General features: G+C 51.7%; 3 protein-coding genes across 25 annotated transcripts in view, besides 7 other annotated features; 2 read left to right on the top strand and 1 right to left on the bottom strand.

Moving 5' to 3' along the window:
* The window catches only part of ZNF385C (zinc finger protein 385C), a 72898-nt gene extending 66105 nt beyond the window's left edge, over positions 1–6793 (top strand). For 3 of the 8 annotated variants that reach the window (NM_001378270.1, NM_001392013.1, NM_001392017.1), the window contains 5 exons: positions 585–750; positions 3296–3586; positions 4123–4319; positions 4641–4751; positions 5236–6793. In NM_001378270.1, coding sequence (NP_001365199.1) covers positions 585–750; positions 3296–3586; positions 4123–4319; positions 4641–4751; positions 5236–5472 — 1002 coding nt within the window. In that variant the 3' untranslated portion in view covers positions 5473–6793. Of the gene's footprint in view, positions 1–584; positions 751–3292; positions 3587–4122; positions 4320–4640; positions 4752–5235 lie in introns of all 8 variants that reach the window. The other 5 variants (NM_001393562.1, NM_001392018.1, NM_001392016.1 and 2 more) reach the window with 3 other exon arrangements.
* Positions 2824–3612: an enhancer, noted in NCBI's record as "NANOG-H3K27ac-H3K4me1 hESC enhancer chr17:40180775-40181563 (GRCh37/hg19 assembly coordinates)". NCBI's record gives its function as "activates a minimal SCP1, AML or CMV promoter by ChIP-STARR-seq in naive H9 embryonic stem cells {active_cell/tissue: H9 hESC(naive)}" and the evidence as "EXISTENCE:reporter gene assay evidence [ECO:0000049][PMID:30033119]".
* NKIRAS2 (NFKB inhibitor interacting Ras like 2) lies at positions 6728–14793 on the bottom strand. Of its 9 annotated transcripts, none has more exons than XM_047435823.1 (5): positions 14743–14793; positions 12100–12493; positions 10698–10805; positions 9729–9970; positions 6728–8715 (listed from the first exon to the last, which is right to left on the bottom strand). In XM_047435823.1, exons 3-5 carry the CDS (start codon positions 10789–10791, stop codon positions 8476–8478), a joined length of 576 nt encoding a protein of 191 aa, XP_047291779.1. In that variant the 5' UTR covers positions 10792–10805; positions 12100–12493; positions 14743–14793; the 3' UTR covers positions 6728–8475. The 9 variants fall into 9 exon arrangements, with proteins under 9 accessions (XP_047291779.1, XP_047291778.1, XP_047291781.1 ...); XM_047435822.1 differs by having other exon boundaries at positions 12165–12493; XM_047435825.1 differs by having other exon boundaries at positions 9897–9970; positions 12165–12493.
* Positions 7383–7432: an enhancer, noted in NCBI's record as "active region_12182". NCBI's record gives its function as "activates an Ori minimal core promoter by ATAC-STARR-seq in GM12878 lymphoblastoid cells {active_cell/tissue: GM12878}" and the evidence as "EXISTENCE:reporter gene assay evidence [ECO:0000049][PMID:35858748]".
* Positions 11986–12395: a silencer, noted in NCBI's record as "silent region_8510". NCBI's record gives its function as "represses an Ori minimal core promoter by ATAC-STARR-seq in GM12878 lymphoblastoid cells {active_cell/tissue: GM12878}" and the evidence as "EXISTENCE:reporter gene assay evidence [ECO:0000049][PMID:35858748]".
* Positions 14522–15721: an enhancer, noted in NCBI's record as "MED14-independent group 3 enhancer chr17:40168666-40169865 (GRCh37/hg19 assembly coordinates)". NCBI's record gives its function as "activates an origin of replication core promoter dependent on BRD2, BRD4, P300/CBP and CDK7 cofactors, and independent of MED14, by STARR-seq in HCT116 cells {active_cell/tissue: HCT116}" and the evidence as "EXISTENCE:reporter gene assay evidence [ECO:0000049][PMID:35650434]".
* Positions 14622–14771: a silencer, noted in NCBI's record as "silent region_8509". NCBI's record gives its function as "represses an Ori minimal core promoter by ATAC-STARR-seq in GM12878 lymphoblastoid cells {active_cell/tissue: GM12878}" and the evidence as "EXISTENCE:reporter gene assay evidence [ECO:0000049][PMID:35858748]".
* Positions 14882–15291: an enhancer, noted in NCBI's record as "active region_12181". NCBI's record gives its function as "activates an Ori minimal core promoter by ATAC-STARR-seq in GM12878 lymphoblastoid cells {active_cell/tissue: GM12878}" and the evidence as "EXISTENCE:reporter gene assay evidence [ECO:0000049][PMID:35858748]".
* Positions 14930–18335, top strand: part of DNAJC7 (DnaJ heat shock protein family (Hsp40) member C7) — a 41005-nt gene continuing 37599 nt past the window's right edge. For 5 of the 8 annotated variants that reach the window (NR_029431.2, XR_007065438.1, XR_001752603.3 and 2 more), the window contains exon 1: positions 14930–15029. Coding sequence is in view for 1 of the 8 variants with exons in the window: in NM_003315.4 (NP_003306.3) it covers positions 14953–15029 (77 nt within the window). In the remaining 7 variants the exon portion in view is untranslated. Of the gene's footprint in view, positions 15030–15206; positions 15330–18335 lie in introns of those variants that run through there. The other 3 variants (NM_001144766.3, XM_017024994.3, XM_011525169.4) reach the window with 2 other exon arrangements.
* Positions 15362–15411: an enhancer, noted in NCBI's record as "active region_12180". NCBI's record gives its function as "activates an Ori minimal core promoter by ATAC-STARR-seq in GM12878 lymphoblastoid cells {active_cell/tissue: GM12878}" and the evidence as "EXISTENCE:reporter gene assay evidence [ECO:0000049][PMID:35858748]".

Raw genomic sequence — 18335 nt, 5'->3', positions numbered from 1 at the left:
TGTAGTTAGTGGCCAGGCGTGGTGGCTCACGCCTGTAATCCCAGCACTTTGGGAGGCTGAGGCGGGTGGATCACGAGGCAGGAGATCGAGACCATCCTGGCTAATATGGTGAAACCCCGTCTCTACTAAAAATACAAAAAATTAGCCGGGTGTGGTGGCGGGCGCCTGTAGTCCCAGCTACCCCGGAGGCTGAGGCAGAAGAATCGCTTGAACCCGGGAGGCGGAGGTTGCAGTGAGCTGAGATGGCGCCACTGCACTCCAGCCTGGGCGACAGAGCGAGACTCCATCTCAAAAAACAAAAAACAAAAACAACAACAACAACAACAAAAAGATGTGGTTAGTAAGTGGCTGGGTCAGATCTGAAGCCAGAGGCAGCCTGCCTTGGAGTTCATGTGCGAGAACACATTCTGCAAACCTCAGAGCCACATGTGCTATGGTGATGATGATGACAAGGACAAGGACTTGCCCTTTGTGTGACCTGAGCCCTGCCTCCCTTTGACCTGTCCCCCTGCTGGGCTCCAGTTCACAGATGGGGCATGTGGACTCAGCCAGTGAATGGTGACCTCTTGCCCTCCCCTCCCCAGAACCAGGCCGAGGCACATTATAAAGGCCACAAACACGCCAGAAAACTCAAGGCTGTCGAGGCTGCCAAGAGCAAGCAGAGGCCACACACCCAGGCCCAGGATGGGGCTGTAGTGTCCCCAATCCCAACGCTGGCCAGTGGAGCCCCTGGAGAGCCACAGAGTAAAGGTCAGTCCTGAGCTCTTCTCTTTCCCACGTCTCCACTCCAAATCTGGTTTCCGACAAGGGGTTGAGAGATTTCTGCTTATTCTTTTTGCTTGTGTTGGAGTATTCCATACAGACAGGCAAAGGCACACAAGTGTACCACGCCATGAATTTTCCTAAGCTGAACACACCCAGATCAGGAAACACGTTACCAGCACCTCAGAAGCTTGTCTTGCACCTCCTCCTGGTCATTACCTTGAAGTATTCATTTCCAAGGGCTGCCTTCACAAATGACTTCATTTGTGAAGTTAGGAATGGTGGCTCACATGTTGTGATGGTTAACACTTTGGGAGGCTGAGGCGGGAGGATTGCTTTAAGCCTGGAGTTTGAGACCAGTCTGGGAAACATGGTGTGACCCTGTCTCTACAAAAAATTTATTTGCCAGGCATGATGATGCACACCTGTAGTCCCAGCTACTCAGGAGGCTGAAGCAGGAGGATCTGCTTAAGCCCAGGAGGTCGAGGCTGCAGTGAGCTATGGGTGACAGAGCAAAACCTTGTCTCTAACCTCCCCTGCCCACCCCCACCCCCAAAAAAAGAGACTACAACCTGGGTGACTGAAAACAACAAAAATTTATTTTCACACAGCTCTGGAGGCCAGAAGTCTGAAATCAAGGCGTTGACAGCATTGGTTCCTTCTTGGGGGCTTAGAGGAGAAAGTGTCCCATGCTTCTCTTCTGGCCTTTGGTGGCTGCCAGTATTCCTTGGCACTCCTTGGCTTATAGACGCATCACTCCAATCTCCACCTCCATCTCCACATTCTCCCTTGTGTGTCCCTGTGTTTCCACAAGCTCTTTTTATAAGGGTACCAGTCACTAGATCAATCCCACCCGAACCCAGCATGACCTCATCTTAACTAATTTTATCTTCAAAGACCCTGTTTCCAAATAAGGTCACATTCTGAGGTTCCAGATAGATGTGAATTTTGGGGGAGACACTATTCAACTAACTACAACCCCTCTGATGGTAAATACGATCCTGACTTTTCTCAGCATAGATCAGCTTTACCTATTTTTGGTGAAACATAGAGTGTGCAGGGGTTTTTTTGTATCTGTTTTGTTTTGTGGGTTTTTTTTGTTTTGTTTGTTTGTTTTTTGAGACAGAGTCTCGCTCTGTCTCCCAGGCTGGAGCACAGCGGTGCAATCTTGGCTCACTGCAACCTCTGCTTCCTGGGTTCAAGCCATTCTCCTACCTCAGCCTTCCAAGTAGCTGGGACTACAGGTACCTGCCACCACGTCCAGCTAATTTTTGTATTTTTAGTAGAAACGGGGTTTCACCATATTGGCCAGGCTGGTCTCGAACTCCTGACCTTGTGATCCACCCACCTCGGCCTCCCAAAGTGCTGGGATTACAGGCGTGAGCCACCCTGCCTGGCCGGTATCTAGTTTTTATTCATCTCTCACAAACATTCATCAACATTCATTATATCTGTAAGATTCATCCATGTTTTTGCGTGTAGCTGTAGTTTGTTCTCTTTCATTGCTGTGTAGTACTCCACCGTGGATCATACCACTATTTTTTTTTAATTTAAATTCTTAAAAGCTCTTTTTTTTTTTGAGACAGGGTCTGGCTCTGTCACCCAGGCTGGAGTGCAGTGGTGTGACCTAGGCTCATCCACCTCCCTGGCTCTCAAGCGATTCTCCTGCCTCAGCCTCCCAAGTAGTTGGAACTATAGGCATGTGCCACCATGCCTGGCTAATTTTTGTATTTTTAGTACAGATGGTGTTTCGCTGTGTCACCCAGTCTGGTCTCGAAGTCCTGGACTCAAGTGATCTGCTAACCTTGGCCTCCCAAAGTGTTGGGATCACAGGCGTGAGCCACTGCGTCTGGCCCATACCACTGTGTTTTTTTTGTTTGTTTGTTTGTTTTTGAGATGGCGTTTCACTCTGTCGCCCAGGCTGGAGTGCAGTGGTGTGATCTCAGTTCACTGTAACCTCCACCTTGCAGGTTCAAGCGATTCTCCTGCCTCAGCCTCCCGAGTAGCTGGGATTATAGGCATGTGCCACCACGCCTAATTCTGTATTTTTAGTAGAGATAGGGTTTCACCATGTTGGCCAGGCCAGTCTCGAACTCCTGACCTTAGGTGATCCACCTGCCTCGGCCTCCCAAAGTGCTCGGATTACAGACATGAGCCACCGTATCCAGCCCGCACCATTGTTTTTTAAAAATCTGCTCTCCTGTTGGTGGACATGTGGGTAGTTTCAGTTTTATGATATTATGAATAGTGTTCTCTGAACATTCTAGTACATCTTTTTTGGTGATCTCTGTTTAAGTTAGCAAATAAGGATATGAGGGCTGTGAGGGCTTTCTGAGACCACTGTGTCCAACTTAATGATTTCAGATGGGGAAACTGAGGCCCAAGTCTGCCCAGTGAGTTGGTAGAAAAGTGGGGCCTGGAATTCAGTGCTGGTCATCCACCAGGGGCCCTCCAGGCCACCTCCATGGTCAGAGCTGAAGATCGTGGTCTGCAGCGTCATCTTGGGTCTCACACTCTTCCATCTCTGCAGCAGTTCCTGCAGCCCCTCCTCTTGGGCCTCCACTCCAGCCACCACCAACTCCAGACCCTACATGCAGGGAGCCAGCCCACTCAGAGCTCTTGGATGCTGCCTCCTCATCCTCTTCTTCCTCCTGCCCACCTTGCTCCCCAGAGCCTGGGAGAGAGGCACCGGGGCCTGAGCCAGCGGCAGCTGCCGTGGGAAGCAGCATGAGTGGGGAAGGCAGGAGTGAGAAGGGGCACCTCTACTGCCCCACGTGTAAGGTGACAGTGAACTCGGCCTCCCAGCTTCAGGCTCACAACACAGGTCAGTAGTCCCAGGAGCTGGAGCCCAGGGAAAGGGTGGGACAGAAGCTAAGCCTCGCCAGATGAGGGCAGGCTTGAGTTCCTGGGTGCTTCGCTCAAGGGTTGGATGGCGGAGGCTTTGTGCTTGTGTGTTACTGAACGGACGTTTCTGGGTCCTCCCATTACTCCTTGGGGAAGGAGAATTGGGAAGAGAAGTCTGAGGCAGCAAGAACTGAAGGTCGCTAAATCTCTGAAGGGTCACTCCACAGGAGACAGGAGACATCTGCCTCTCTCCTTAGATTACACCCAGAAGGAAAGGACTGAGATCAAAGCAAAGGGGAAGGCAGCTATTTGTAGTGCAGAAAGGCCTTTCATAGGAGGGGCTGGCATGAAAGGACAGAAGCTGGGAGGGGAAACCACGTGTGGCTGGAGGGCGATGTGTGCACAGAGCAGCCGTGAGGCTTACAGGGAGAGCCAAATTGCATGAGTGTGGAGGGGGTCTCTGTGGCCCCTGCAACCCCTTCCTGCTGCTGAGAGACTGCCTTCTTCCCTCTCCAGGAGCCAAGCACCGGTGGATGATGGAAGGTCAGCGAGGGGCTCCCCGGAGGAGCCGGGGCCGCCCGGTGTCCAGGGGAGGTGCCGGACACAAAGCCAAGAGAGTCACAGGGGGCCGGGGCGGCCGGCAGGGGCCCAGCCCTGCCTTCCACTGTGCTCTCTGTCAGCTCCAGGTCAATTCAGAGACCCAACTGAAGCAGGTGGGAGAAGTGAGGCTGTGACTGGGGTTGGAGCCAGGGGAGGGGGTTGGGGGGCAGGGCAGCAGAGGGAGGGACCCTGAAGAGAGCAGGCAGGGCACAGCAGAGCAGGCTGGAGAAGCGAGGCCAGCAGGCCAGTGGGCCAATTAAGGGCAAAGGCCAAGACTCACCTCCCCTTCCCAGGGCCTACCCCAGGGTGAGGACCCAGTCTGTGTGCTTTGGATGTATGAGCTGTGGATAGAGGAAGGGGAAGAGTCGAGGATGATGGTCTTGGGGTCCTTGGGCTTTGTCATCTTGTTCCCAGTCTGTCTGTCTGTCCATTAGCACATGAGCAGCAGGAGGCACAAAGACCGCCTGGCCGGGAAGACCCCCAAGCCCTCCAGCCAGCACAGCAAGCTGCAGAAGCACGCAGCGCTGGCTGTGAGTATCCTCAAGGTATCTGTCTCCAGGCAACAGAGCTGGGACTGGGTCAGGAGGGGAGAGGGTGGGCTGGGAGGGCCAGATGGGGGGGCTGCGGTGGGGCAGGAAAAGAGGCCACCCTGCAATGAGGCTGCTGGGCAGTGACAGAGCTAGGCCTGGGAACTGGGATCTGCGCAGAGGAATTTCCGGGGAGGTGGGTTGGGATAGTCATCTTAGGGGCAAGAGTGAGGGGTGGGCGTGCATCTCCTAGAGACCATCTCTATCCCGTAAATCCTCCTCCCTTCTCCCATGCTGAGACTTTCCTCCCTCTGGACAGGAAGACAGGTGGTGGAGAAAGCCCTTCGGAATGAATGTTTGGGGGTGGGAAGGGAGGAGGATTTAGGTTTGGAACTCTAAAAGGCACGCTTTCCCTGCAGCAAAAAGCTTGAGGATGGGCCCCAGGGAGGGGGTGGGGTTTTCTGGGGTGGAGACTGTGTCCATTCCTTTCTTTTCCGTGTAGTCTAAACTGGCCTTGCAGAAGCAACTCACCAAGACGTTGGCAGCCCGCTTCCTGCCCAGCCCGCTCCCCACCGCAGCCACTGCCATCTGTGCTCTGCCAGGGCCCCTGGCCCTCCGCCCTGCCCCTACAGCAGCCACTACCCTCTTCCCGGCTCCCATCCTGGGCCCAGCTCTGTTTCGCACCCCAGCAGGAGCTGTCCGCCCTGCCACAGGACCTATCGTCCTTGCCCCTTATTAGCCCTCATGGGGAGGCCAGAGCTGATTTCCCAATAGCCACTCCTTGTCTCCTCCTGTCCTGAGACACCTTGGTTTCCTACATGCCACAGGGACTGTGAACAGCTTCAGGGGTCCTGCCCGATCCAGAAAGAGCTGGGCTAGTTTTAAGGGCAGCTGCCTTCCAAGGACTGTCCCCACCCTCCTTTCGCAGGCCTTCCAGGGTTAATCCTAGGCTTGCCTGCATTTCCCACCCTGACAGACCCCAAAGATCTATGCAAAATCTCAGCCCCAGCCATGTGGTGCTCTCACTTTCCTCCACCCAAGACCCACATGGCCAGACTCTAGGAATCTTAGCTTCTACAAGCCATCCTCTCCTAGCCAGGGGACGACTCTCTGACCTCTATTCCTAGGCTTTGGGGCTTCACTGGAGATAGGGATGGGGTCTCTAGCTGCAGCAGGCTCAAGGCTGTCAGGACAAGGTGACCATGGGAGTGTGACAGAGGACCATGGAGGAGAAAGGGGGACCCAAAAGTCCTTCGATCAGCAGTGCTAAGGTGGGGCAGAGCCAAGGAGGTAGTGGGGCTGGTTCTGAAAGCTTTTGGGGGCTTCATCTGCTCTGAAGGGGTGGGACTAAGAGAGGAGGTGATGTTCTGGTTGGGCCCAGGGTTTTGTTTTAATCTTAAGTCTTCTGGGCATTCATGGGCCCAGTCTTTTTTTCTGTCTGAGAGTATCATTCTGTTGCCCAGGTTAGAGTGCAGTGGTGCAATCTTGGCTCACTGCATGCAGCCTCTGCCTCCCTGGTTCAAGTGATACTTGCTGATAAGCCCAGTCTTAATATTGAGGGAGTAACTCATCCCTCAGAAGCTCTTCTTCTTAGCCTTTCTCTGACTTCCTGAACCCCAACTCTTGGAGGGCGGGTGTGGGTCTCCCTCAGACTATGGACTCAGCTAACACCGAACCCCCCGCAGAGCTCCCAAAGGAAGAGCTTTCCCCTACAGCTTCCCACTCCAAACTGGTCCTAGCACTAAATTCAGCTTTCCCTTCTCCCAACCAGCCCCTGCCACTGTGAAGCTGAGTGTTGGGAGGCAGTCTCACATGCACTGGCAAGACCCATTTTCATGCTGTCAATGTCAATGTCACAAACTCCTTTCCACTGCAGCACTGCCCCCTCCCCACCCCACAATATGGGACCCTGCCAGTATCCCCCTGTATCTTTTTTTTGTTTTTTAAAGACATTTCCAATGGGAGAACCAGAAAAAGGGGGAGGGGAGGGAAACTTTTTGATAACAATTGTGGTTTTATTGTGTCCAACCAATGCATCAATAAATGAACTTGAAGCCCAAGCCTGTGTGTGTCCTAATTCCACTCACCCAGCCCCGGGCACCTGCCCCACTCACCTCTGGCTTTGAGAAGGGGCGTGTGTCGGTGGTTGCCTGGCTGCAGTGTCTCACCTAGGCTAGGTGTGCACCTTAGAAGCACAAAGCGGGCACAGTTGTGGGTAATAAGCTTACTCTGCAGGCCGCTGGGTGTGTGCCCACCCTCCTGAGCCCCGAAAGAGGACCTGTCAGCTCCTGAGAGGCTGCTACGGGTTTGCCTTGTTCTGTTCAGGCATCTGAGGTAAGAAGGAGGGGCCAGAGGAGCACCTTGTCCAGCCTTCACCATGAGAGCGGGCATATAAATATAAATACAGGTAACTTATAAATAGAAGTCCAGCTCTGAGCTGAAAACCACAGGCAGGATAAAGAGCAGCCTCCAAGAGCGAGGCTGGCGGGCTGGGCACTGAGCGGCCACTCTGGTGACTGACAGCAGGTAGTGCACTCCTGCCCCCTGGTGGCTGGAGGGAGCGGCAGATCCCAGCCTCCAGGGCTGGTTGGCATAGCACCTTAAAGAGGGAGAAGCCATTGGCTTTACGAAATCAAGAGAACTGGAAAGGATCTAGGAGATCATCTAAGCAACTCTGGTCATCTTACAGATGAGAAACTGATGCCCAGAGAGGGGAAAGGTCTTGCTGGGTCACAAAGTGGGCTGGTGACTCATAGCCCAGTTATTCTATTCCATCTCAACCAGTGAGGCCCATCTGCTCCCTGAGCAGGAAGAGGAAGTAAAACAATTGGTAGGGGTGGGGAATTTTTTTTTTTTTTCTTCGAGATGGAGTCTTGCTCTGTTGACCAGGCTGGAGTGCAGTGGCACGATCTCGGCTCACTGCAGCCTCCGCCTTCTGAGTTCAAGCAATTCTCCTGCCTCAGCCTCCCCGGGTAGCTGGGATTACAGGCATGTGCCACTACGCCCGGCTAACTTTTGTATTTTTGGCAGAGATGGGGTTTCACAATGTTGGCCAGGCTGGTCGTGAACTCCTGACCTCAAGTAATCGACCCGCCTTGGCCTCCCAAAGTGCTGGGATTACAGGGGTGAGCCACTGAGCCCAGCCAGGGGTGGGGGATTTAAAACAGAAAACTACACTCCCAGGAGGCCAACTTCTTCCAGCCAAGAAAAGGACAGGAGAAAGGTCAGGGTGAGGGATGAGGAGACGCCTAATGCCAGTATAGGAGCATATTTGTGTGTGCACAACTAAATGCATACACACAATACCTGGACACCCTTTTTCTGGAGTCCAGGCTGGTGCCATAAGTGTGTGTGTGTCGCTGATGGGAAGCCCAGAGGGTGGGGCCCCTACCTATAATAGGAACTCAGACCCAAGAAGGGACACTGCTGCGTGGTGACTCTGCTTCCTGTCTGGGGCAGCTGGAAGGGACAGTGACCCACAACTGCCCCAGGAGACAGTGGAGCAGATCCTCTAAAAGCTGGGATGGGGAGTAGGCTGGGAGGGCTGAGGAAGGGGATGTCAACCAAGAGTATTTGCACTTCCCAGAGGTGAGAGGGAGCAAAGTGGCTGGGGCGTGGCCTGGCGGGGAGCTCCCTGGCTGACTGGGAAAGACAGCTTGTCCTCTACTTTGCCCTCAACACATCTACCAGAGCCCCAGACACTGAAATGGGGCTGGGATCGTGAAAGAGGAACGGCAGCTCTTCAGCCATCCAAGGAGCCGCTGCCCTTGTTCTTCCGGCTGAGGGGGAAGGCAGACTTGCTCTGGGGTTGCGTCATCTTGCTGGCCAAGTAGACAAAGGGCTCCAGGAGGGAGCGCCGGTCCGCCACTGACACCTCCCACAGCTTCACCTTCTCTGACTTGGCCCAGTGCTGAGCCACATCTGGGTCTACACGCCGCTGCTCCTGTAAGTCACACTTGTTGCCAAGGACCACGATGGTGACCTGGGGAAGAGGGACAGAGCATAGGCCTGTGAATGTACCATAGAACCAGGAATGGACATGGGGGCTGGCAACCACCTAGGAGTTCTATGAGAGGAAAGCTCAATGGCTGATATCTCATCTCTTTCTAGATTCCATACCACTCATTGTGGGGAAGGAGATGGTTGCTTTTTTTCTCTTTCCTCTGTTCAAATTCTGGCCTCCATCTAGCCCTCCTTTTAGGAGTTCTATCACCAGCTCTGTATTGCCCATACATGCTCATTATTAGCAGTCAGTTTCTGGCTCAACAACAGGTGAGGAAGCACTCCCAGAACCCTGCAGCTTACTGTGGGATTCTGGAGAACAGAAGGGCCTTCGTGGCCAGATGCAGTGGCTTACGCCTGTAATCCCAACACTTTGGGAGGCTGAGGCAGGTGGACTGCTTGAGTCCAGGAGTTTGAGACCAGCCTGAGCAACATGACAAAACCCCATCTCTACTAAAAATACAAAACTTAGCCAGGTGTGGTGGCATGCACCTGTAGTCTTAGCAGGGGGCTGAGGCAGGAGGACCACCTAAGCCTTGGGAGGTTGAGGCTGCAGTGAGCTGTGATCATGCCACTGCACTCCAGCCTGGGTGGCAGAGTGAGACCCTGTCTCAAACAAACAAACAAACAAACAAACAAAAGAAGGGCTTTCATAGCTAAAAGCACAGAACCATCAGGAAGGACAACTATGTGGGGACTTCATACAACTAAGTGGGGGCTTCATACATTAGGTCAGTGACCCCTTCAACAACTAAATGGGGGCTTCATACATTAGGTCAGGGACCCCTTAAACCACAAAGAGGCCTCTTTTGTTGAGCAGACTCAACATGCAGCCAATCCTGAGGGTAAAGATACCCTCAGTGGCCTCCACCCCACCTCTGGCTCCTAACTCACCTTGGAGTGAAGAATGGAGCCATGCCAGGCTTCCCAAACCAGCCCTCCGCCCAAACTCTCTGACCACTGAGGCTCCCACCAGAAGCCTATGCCACACACCTCCTTCTTGTCCTTGGATTTGTCAATCTCCTTCTTGAGCAGCTCCACACGCTGAAAAGACTCTCTGCTATCTGTGCTATAGACCAGGACGTAGCCATCAGTGCAAGAGAAGCAGTGTCGGGGCAGTTCGGCCCCATCTCGGAGCCCCCGGGTGTCATAGAAACGCACCTGCTCTCGCACCCCCCGGTCTGTCTCAATGGAGCCCACGTAGATGTCCTCCTGCGTCTCGATCATCTCCGAACCTGGTATAAAATGAGAAAACTGTCTGAAGTGGAGAGAGAGATGGGAAATGTGAGTGATGAGAGCATCTTAAGGCTGACCAAATGGGGAGAAAGGAATGTAGGGGGCTGAGGAGGCCAGAGAATTGACAGCCTGGCAGGACTGAAATGATTTGGGTTTAGGGGAACGAACATTAATTTCTTTCTTTTTTTGAGACGGAGTTTTGCTCTCGTTGCCCAGGCTGGAGTGCAATGGCGCAATCTCGGCTCACCGCAACCTCCACCTCCCGAGTTCAAGCGATTCTCCTGCCTCGGCCTCCCGAATAGCTGGGATTACAGGCATGTGCCACCACACCCGGCTAATTTTGTATTTTTAGTAGAGACAGGGTTTCTCCAAGTTCGTTAGGCTGGTCTCGAACTCCCGACCTGAGGTGATCCACCCGCCTCAGCCTCCCAAAGTGCTCGGATTACAGGCGTGATCCACCGCACCCGGCCAATGGACATTAATTTTATGCTAATTCCATGCTAAGCACAAGTGTGACATGACAGCTTCTCTTTCCTATCTTGGACATAGGGCTTTCTCCCTCCGTATTTGTTCAGTGTTGTAGAGTTGATCTGTTACAATGTAAGTTTTATTCTTCCAGGGGGGAAAACCACCAGGAGCAGCTTTTAGCCTGTGTGTGTTGTGATCAAGTCCTATTCCTTATTTTTCAACTTCTTCCACTGTTCCTCCCCCTCCAACAACACTCACCCACTACATGGTTCCCATACAGAAGCTGCTCCAGGATTGAAGTTTTGCCCACAGACGCCTGGCCACACACGACCACCTTGCAGCTCTTCCCCATGCTTAGTTTTCAACCTTGAAGAACAGAAGCACGCTGGGTAAGGTGAGGAAAGAAAGCATCAACACAGAAGGCAGTTACTAGCAGATGTTTTCTGGTGGACAAAAACAAAAACCAAAAAAACAGAAGGCAGAACGTCCATAACTGAGAGTTCTAAACTGAATGTATAGTTCTAAACTGAATGTATAGTTCCAGGGTTTCAGCACCATCCCAATGCTAGTCAGAGGAAACGGATGTCTCCATGTCTACTACTGGATGGTAAGCTGTTATTTTATTCGTCTTTGTTATCCCCAGTACCTAGCCAGTATCTGTCACAGGGCAGGTGCTTGGAAATGCTGCCATAAAGGGAGAGGAGAGTCACTGGCCACTGGGCCAGGTTCCCTTCTGTGCGCAAGATGTAGAGGACCAATTAGTAAAGGGAGCTCAGCCCAGCTTCCTCTCTTTAACCATGACCCCATGGAGAATTAAGCAGGAACAGTGTTTTGTGTGGCTGTCTGAAGCCATCTGCTCCCTGGGGGGACTGAGCAAATAAAAAGGATAATCTGGGGCAGGGCACGGTGGCTCACGCCTGTAATCTCAGCACTTCGGGAGGCCGAGGTGGGCAGATCACAAAGTCAGGAGTTCGAGACCAGACTGGCCAACATAGTGAAACCTCATCTCTACTAAACATACAAAAAATTAGTCAGGCGTGGTGGCGGGTGCCTGTAATCCCAGCTACTTGAGAGGCTGAGGCAGGAGAATCGCTTGAATCCAGGAGGCGGAGATTGCAGTGAGCCAAGAATATGCCACTGCACTCCAGCCTGGGCGGCAGAGCAAGACTCCGTCTCAAAAAAAGACAATCTGCTTTCCTGTACGACTCATCTGGACAACAATCAATTCCCTCTAAACTCCAGTCAAGTCTATGGCTAAAATGAACATAAGACAAGAGAGAAAAGAATGAAGAAACCTACGGAAAAAAAGGCTTCAGAAAGGACATACTTTTTGCTGCCCTTGGACTGACAGACACAAAAGAGAAAGCTCAGATACAGAAACCCTAAGAGGTCCCAGACAGATATCTCCCCGAAGGCAAACTTCCAAACACAAGCCCCCCAAAAGCTCCAGACAAAGATCCCCCCCAGAGAGCAGAGATAGATCACTCCCAAAGACGGTCCCTAACAGAAACCTCTCCAGGGGAAGCTCCTGACACAGACCCCCTCTCCATATAGCGAGCCCCACAATAAAGGACACCATAAGAGTGGGCCAGAGGTGCCTCCGCCACAGATTTTCTCACGGGGGAGCCCCCAGAGGGAATGAGAGGCAGAGACCAGCCACCTAAAGCGGCCCGGAGGCGGAGGCCGATCCTAGCGCCGGACGAGCCTCGCCTCCCAGGTCCGTACCTCCCGGGGCCCCCGCAGCACCAGCCGGGCCCTCCGAGCTCGCGGGGACCAGGGGAGGGGCAGCGCCGCCGCAAAGGCTCCAGTCTTCCTCCAGAGTCGGTGTAGGCTCCTCCAGGCCCCGCCCCCGCCGCCTGCCCGCTCCCCAGCTTCCGTCAGGCAAGACGAATTCCGGCAGCGGAGAGAGAGCGCGGACCGCGCAGCTCCCCCAGAGGCCGGCGGGAGAATGACGGCCAGGACCTGGCCTGGGTGTGCGCGGGAGCCCAAGGTTCTAGACTCCCTGGACGCGGGCCGCTGGGTGTTCTGGTGTCTCTGAGGCCCAGATGTTCTCTCTGTAAAGGCGATCAGAGTACAGTAACTCTTCGTTTACTCAATCATTTATTCGTCAAATGTTTTCTGAGCATCATCTGTCTGTGCCTGGTGCAGGGCCATATACTGAGAGAAAGTGGACGAGTTAGACATGGTGGCTGCCCATCAGAACTCACGGTCTAGAGAAGCTAGATGTCTAACAACTACTGAGGTGCTGTGGAGCACAGCAAAAGGGCATTTAACGTTGAGTCAGCAGACACTGAAGGGCCTGGGGGAAAGGGTGTTCTAGGGTGGAGGAAACGGCTACAAGTCATGGCATTTTCTGAAACTATGAGAACTTGGGTTCAATATTGGTGGTAGAAAGGACCTAAATATTGGTACTCAAATTAAATTATTTAAAAAAAGAAACAGATAATCAAAGGCTTTGTGTGGTAGGCCAAAGAGATCAAATTGACGGCAATGGAAAGCCATTGCCAATGAAGAGACATGATCAGTCCCTGAGGAAGGTCACTCTGGCAGAAGAGGGAAGACTGAACAGAGATGAAATTAGAGACCGATTAGGAGACTATTGATGTATTCCAAGTTTTTTTTTCTGTTGTTTTGTTGTTGTTGTTGTTGCCGTTTTTGAGACAGGGTCTTGCTCTTTTCTCCATGCTGGAGTACATTGGTGTGATCATAGCTCACTGCAGCCTCTAACTCCTGGGCTCAAGTGATCCTCCTGCCTCAGCCTCCCAAATAGCTGGGACTACAGATGCATGCCACCACACCCAGCCTATTCCAAGATTTTAAAAAATGATGAGCGCCTGAATCGGGATGGAAAGGTGGAGATAGATTTGGGAAATATTTGGTAGGAGAATCAACAAAACTTGGCAACAAATTGGAAGCCAAGAGTGAGAATGGTTTAATCCATTTAACAAGATACGGAATTTAGGAAAGATAATAATTACATCCAACATTTGTTTTTTCTGTTGTTGAGGTGTGGGTAGACAATGAAAAAGTTAAATTTAAATATGGTAAGCCTTGGGGATTTGTGAAACATACAAGAGATATCCAGTAGATAGTTGGATATACAGCTGTGGAAGCTGAAGAAAGGTCTAGGTTGGAGATATGAAAAGTTGAGAGTCATCAACAGATGGAAGTAAAGCTGTGGGAATAAATGAGTTGCCTTAGATAGAACATAAAGTGGGAAGATGGTGAGACAGGTTGGCTAGCATTAGACTGGACTATGAGCCACTGGCAGGCAGGGCAGGTGGTCTGTAAGTCTTGTGCCCTCACAACCTAGCACAGAGTAGGCGTTTTGGAAAGGGCTGAGTGATTGGCTCAACGAATGACCCCTCCTTTCCAACCTAGTGAGCTTGTCCTATCCCTCCCTACTCAGTGGTCGCTGTGGTTTCAGCTCCCTCCACACTGGGATAGGCAGAGTATGAGCATTGGCACATGCTGTTTTCCTGGAACAAACAGGTAAATCCTTTTAAAATTCCTTTGCCCTCTTCTTATTTTACTCTTAGCTTTACATTGTAAAGCTACTCCTCATACTCCTCCAATTTAACCCCAGAAAGCTCCAATTTAATTCAGCTCCACAAATAGTCGTTTGGGTGAGGGAATAACAACAAAGACAGTTAAACTGTGCCCTTGTCCCCTATGAATTCTCAATCCAGACCGCATTCGGCAAGGCAAGCGTGATGAGTAGAGAGTTTATATAAGAGGTGGGAGTACTGGGGACACAAGAGCAAGGACCTCACCCCGCGAGCTTCCTTATAAACTCCAGGGCAGGGTCTGGGGCGCCATGTGTCAGCTTTCCTAGGCTTAATGCTGAGATGGCACTCCCAGGCGGCTGACATGAAAGGAGCCTTGTAAAAGGGTCAGCGTCATTAGGGTGATGAACCAGTTGGTGTTTGGAGATCCGGAGTGGATGAAAGGCGCAGGGTGAAGACGCCCTGCGTTCCCCTGGCTTGACTGGGCAGGGCTTCCAGAGAACGATGAAAGCTGGGGGAACTGAGCTCAAAGTGTCTCTTGACTTTCCCGGGAAGAAGCTGTGGACACACTCCAAGGTCGGAAAGGTAGCAGTGGGGACTCCTTCCCTACAGAGTCTTGGGTCACCTGGTCCCCACGCAACCCAGACTCCACGGAGCCTTTCAGGAAGACTCTCTAGGATTGGAAGTTGCTATGGCAATGAGGCTCTTGGAATACTGAAAGCAGCCAAGCCCTAGAGAGGCTACCACCGGTACACCCCGCCTTCCCACCCACGGGTAAAGTGGCGCCGCCTACGCACCGGCACAGCCCCTGGGCTCCCGCCCCGGCGCGGAGACCACCGTGGACATCCGGGGGCGGGAGGCCGCTCTGGCCCCAAGCGGAGCCTCTCTCTGGTAGACGAGCCCGAGGGAGCCCTTCTGGGCGCGGCGCCGCGGAGCTGCTCTATGCTCCAACCGGAAGTGCTCTTCACCGCCGGCCTCCCACCCAGCTCTCTGGTCCCGGCGGTAAGATGGCGGCTGCCGCGGAGTGCGATGTGGTAATGGCGGCGACCGAGCCGGAGCTGCTCGACGACCAAGAGGCGAAGAGGTAACCGGGTAGCAGGGTAGTAGAGGAGGCGACCTGCAGCTCCGTGGCTCAGGGAAACTCGTTCCTGCCATGATGCAGCCCCCAGCTGTTGAGGCGATGCCCCGCCCTCCGCAAACACCCCCCCATCTGAGATCAAGGCCGGATGGACCCCCTGAAGGGGCGCTCTTGGGGGTCGGCCTTCCTCTCCCGCTTCCGCCTGGCGTAGGAGCTGAGGCATGGCCTTGTTCTCCAGCTGAGAGGACGATCGTCCTTATAGGAGAGGCCGAGTCTCCGAGGGCAATTTCAGAGGTCTGGTGCGAGGTGGGGGAAGCGGCGCGGCGTCGATGACGACTTCCTTACATCGCCCCCGACCCCCGCGTTCTCTTGTTAACTTCTGTGCATTGTTGCCTGTCTGCACTTTCCGTCTCCAAAACCTTTGCTCTCCTCACCCCGTTTTCCCTTGTAATTATACCCCAGCGATCACTAGTCTGGGTTCGAAGTGATTGTGTGTCTCCATAATTGACCTGGTTGCCCCCGGTTATCCCAGAAGTCAAAGATGACAGAGAAAAAAAGGAAGAGCGAGGGGCTTATCTCGTGTTCTCTACGTCAGACTCCTCTTCCCCTGTCCTTCCTGGGTGATCTTTATCCTTCCCAGCACTGTTCTTTCTTAAGTTAAGCACCAAGGAAGAGGGCAACTGCTTGGGCGCTGTTGGCACTCCGAAGCAGCCGCAGTGGTTCGAGATTGCCAGTCGGACTAGCCAAGGGAGCTGCTGAGTGAGTGGTTTTCGAGAACGCTCTAGATTCTGGCAACAGTTAGGCCAGATTATTGGAAGTGGGGTTGGAACAGAGTTGTGGGTAGTCATACTTGTTCTAATCCTAAAGCAGAATTGACAAGAAGGTTCTAGAAGTTTGGAGCCCTTTCCTTATCAGCTGCGGGTTAGTCTGACCCTTTTGTTCAAGATATCTACAGTGCCCTCAGTCTCTTTGCAACATACTTTATATCTTCATACCAAGCCCGTTGTGTCTTCAGGCTGGGTAATTTGAGGCGGTGATGTAGAATTAGTTCATGAGATCTGAAATCAGGATTCTGAGATTTTTACTATCTAATGAGTTCGAAATATAAGAAGTACTCGGACGCAATGAATAGTTATCAAGCTTGAGGGTGGTTACCACAGCCAGATCTCAAGTTCCTGATCTGCTGGGAGCTGAGGGGCCTGACAAAGTGTAATAGGCCCCTGGGATATCAGAGAAGCCAGGACACCAGAGTCCAGTCTCTGTTCTTAATTTTGAGCTTTCATGTTGTTCCTACTTCTTCCTAGATATTTAAAGCTAAGCATCATCAACCCTTATACATCATTAAAGAGCTGCACAATGGGAAACAAAATTCCTCCCAGTGCAGACGGAGCTTAAATTAATTGTAGAGATTTACTTGTATTTGGAAAGAGTTCAGTGGTTCTTTATACTGTAAATAGGGATTTGGCCACAGGTTATTTATTTTTTATTTTTTGAGACGGAATCTCGCTCTGTCGCCCAGGCTGGAGTGTAGTGGCGCGACCTCAGCTCACTGCAAGCTCCGCCTCCTGAGTTCACACCATTCTCCTGCCTCAGCCTCACCAGTTGCTGGGACTACACGTGCCCACCACCACATCCGGCTAATTGTTGTTTTTTTTTTGTATTTTTAGTAGAGATGGGGTTTCACCCTGTTAGCCACGATGGTCTCGATCTCCTGACCTCGTGATCCGCCCACCTCGGCCTCCCAAAGTGCTGGGATTACAGGCGTGAGCTACTGTGCCGGGCTGGCCATAGGTAATTTTAAAAACTCACCCTACTCATTGTAAATCTCTGATGTAGAGTGTCCCTATTTTGGACTTCATTTCATAGCCTCCTATCTTAAGCAAATACATTTCTTCAATCACAGCCTTAGAGGATAGTCTATCATAAAATTGGAGTAAATGAACCTGAAGACATATAATAAAATAGGTTATGCTGTAATGTGACCACATCACACAAAACATGGTATTTGATAGCAGTACAACAAAATAAGGTAAACTACCTTATTTCATGGAATTTAAGTGTCATTAGGCTGGGTGCAGTAGCTCACACCTGTAATCCCAGCACTTTGGGAGGCCGAGGCAGGTGGGTCAGCTGAGGTCGGGAGTTTGAAACCAGCATGGCCAACATGGCAGAACCCTGTCTCTACTAAAAATACAAAAATTAGCGGGGCGTGGTGGCACACACATGTAATCCCAGTTACACGGGAGGCTGAGGCAGGAGAATCGCTTGAACTCAGGAGGTGGAGGTTGCAGTGAGCTGAGATCGGGCCATTGCACTCCAGCCTGGGTGACAAAGTGAGATTCCATCTCAAAAAAAAGTCATTGATTGCAGAATGCAAATTATTTTATCTGTCACTAAGAAAATGTAACTGTAAATTAAACATGACAACATGCATTATTCCTGTAGTTCAAATAGTGACAGAAAAAAATTAATTAAAAAAAGAAAAAAGACTGGGCGTGGTGGCTCACACCTGTAATCCCAGCACTTTGGGAGGCCAAGGCGGGTGGATTACCTGAGGTCAGGAGTTCGAAACCAGCCTGACTAATACGGTGAAACCCCATCTACTAAAAATACAAAAATTAGCCAGGTGGGGTGATGCTGTAATCCCAGCTAGTCAGGAGGCTGAGGCAGAGGTTGTGGTGAGGGGAGATCATGCCATTGCACTCCAGCCTGGGCAACAAGAGCAAAACTCCGTCTCAAAAAAAAAAAAATCAATTAAAAAAAGAAAAAAATGCATTCTTATCAGACTTTTATGTTTCTCATATATAGCACTGTTTTCGACAGACTTAAACATAGTTATTTATTATATACCACTTTTTTGCACAAATCAAAAGGAAAATTGGCTGGGTGCAGTGGCTCACACTTGTAATCCCATCATTTTGGGAGGCTGAGGTGGGCGGATCACGAGGTCAGGAGTTTGAGACCAGCCTGGCCAACATGGTGAAACCCCATCTCTACTAAAAATAGAAAAAATAGCTGGGCGTAGTGGTGGGCACCTGTAATCCCAGCTACTCGGGAGTCTGAGGCAGGAGAGTCGCTTGAACCCGGGAGGCGGAGGTTGCAGTGAGCCAAGGTCACACCATTGCACTCCAGCCTGGGCGACATGGTGAGACTCCATTTCAAAAAAAAAAAAGGAAAATAAGTGAAATAAACAAAAAAATCAGTTTAACTTTTTGCCATATCAGACATCCTTAGAAGAATAAACATTGGCCGGGCGCGGTGGCTTATGCCTATAATCCCAGCACTTTGGGAGGCTAAAGCAGGCTGATCACC

This window comes from Homo sapiens, chromosome 17, assembly GCF_000001405.40.
Source record: "Homo sapiens chromosome 17, GRCh38.p14 Primary Assembly".
In the NCBI taxonomy this organism is placed as follows: domain Eukaryota; kingdom Metazoa; phylum Chordata; class Mammalia; order Primates; family Hominidae; genus Homo; species Homo sapiens.
The sequence above is the reverse complement of the archived record's forward strand: the minus strand, read 5'-3'. Positions and strand labels throughout refer to the sequence as shown.

Coding starts and splice junctions, on each gene's coding strand:
- NKIRAS2 (XM_047435823.1), bottom strand. CDS start 10,791: ATGGGGAAGAGCTGCAAGGTGGTCGTGTGTGGCCAGGCGTCTGTGGGC. Junction 9,971..10,697: donor GTATGGGAACCATGTAGTGG/GTGAGTGTTGTT, acceptor ATTTTATACCAG/GTTCGGAGATGATCGAGACG. Junction 8,716..9,728: donor AATCCAAGGACAAGAAGGAG/GTGTGTGGCATA, acceptor CCTCTTCCCCAG/GTCACCATCGTGGTCCTTGG.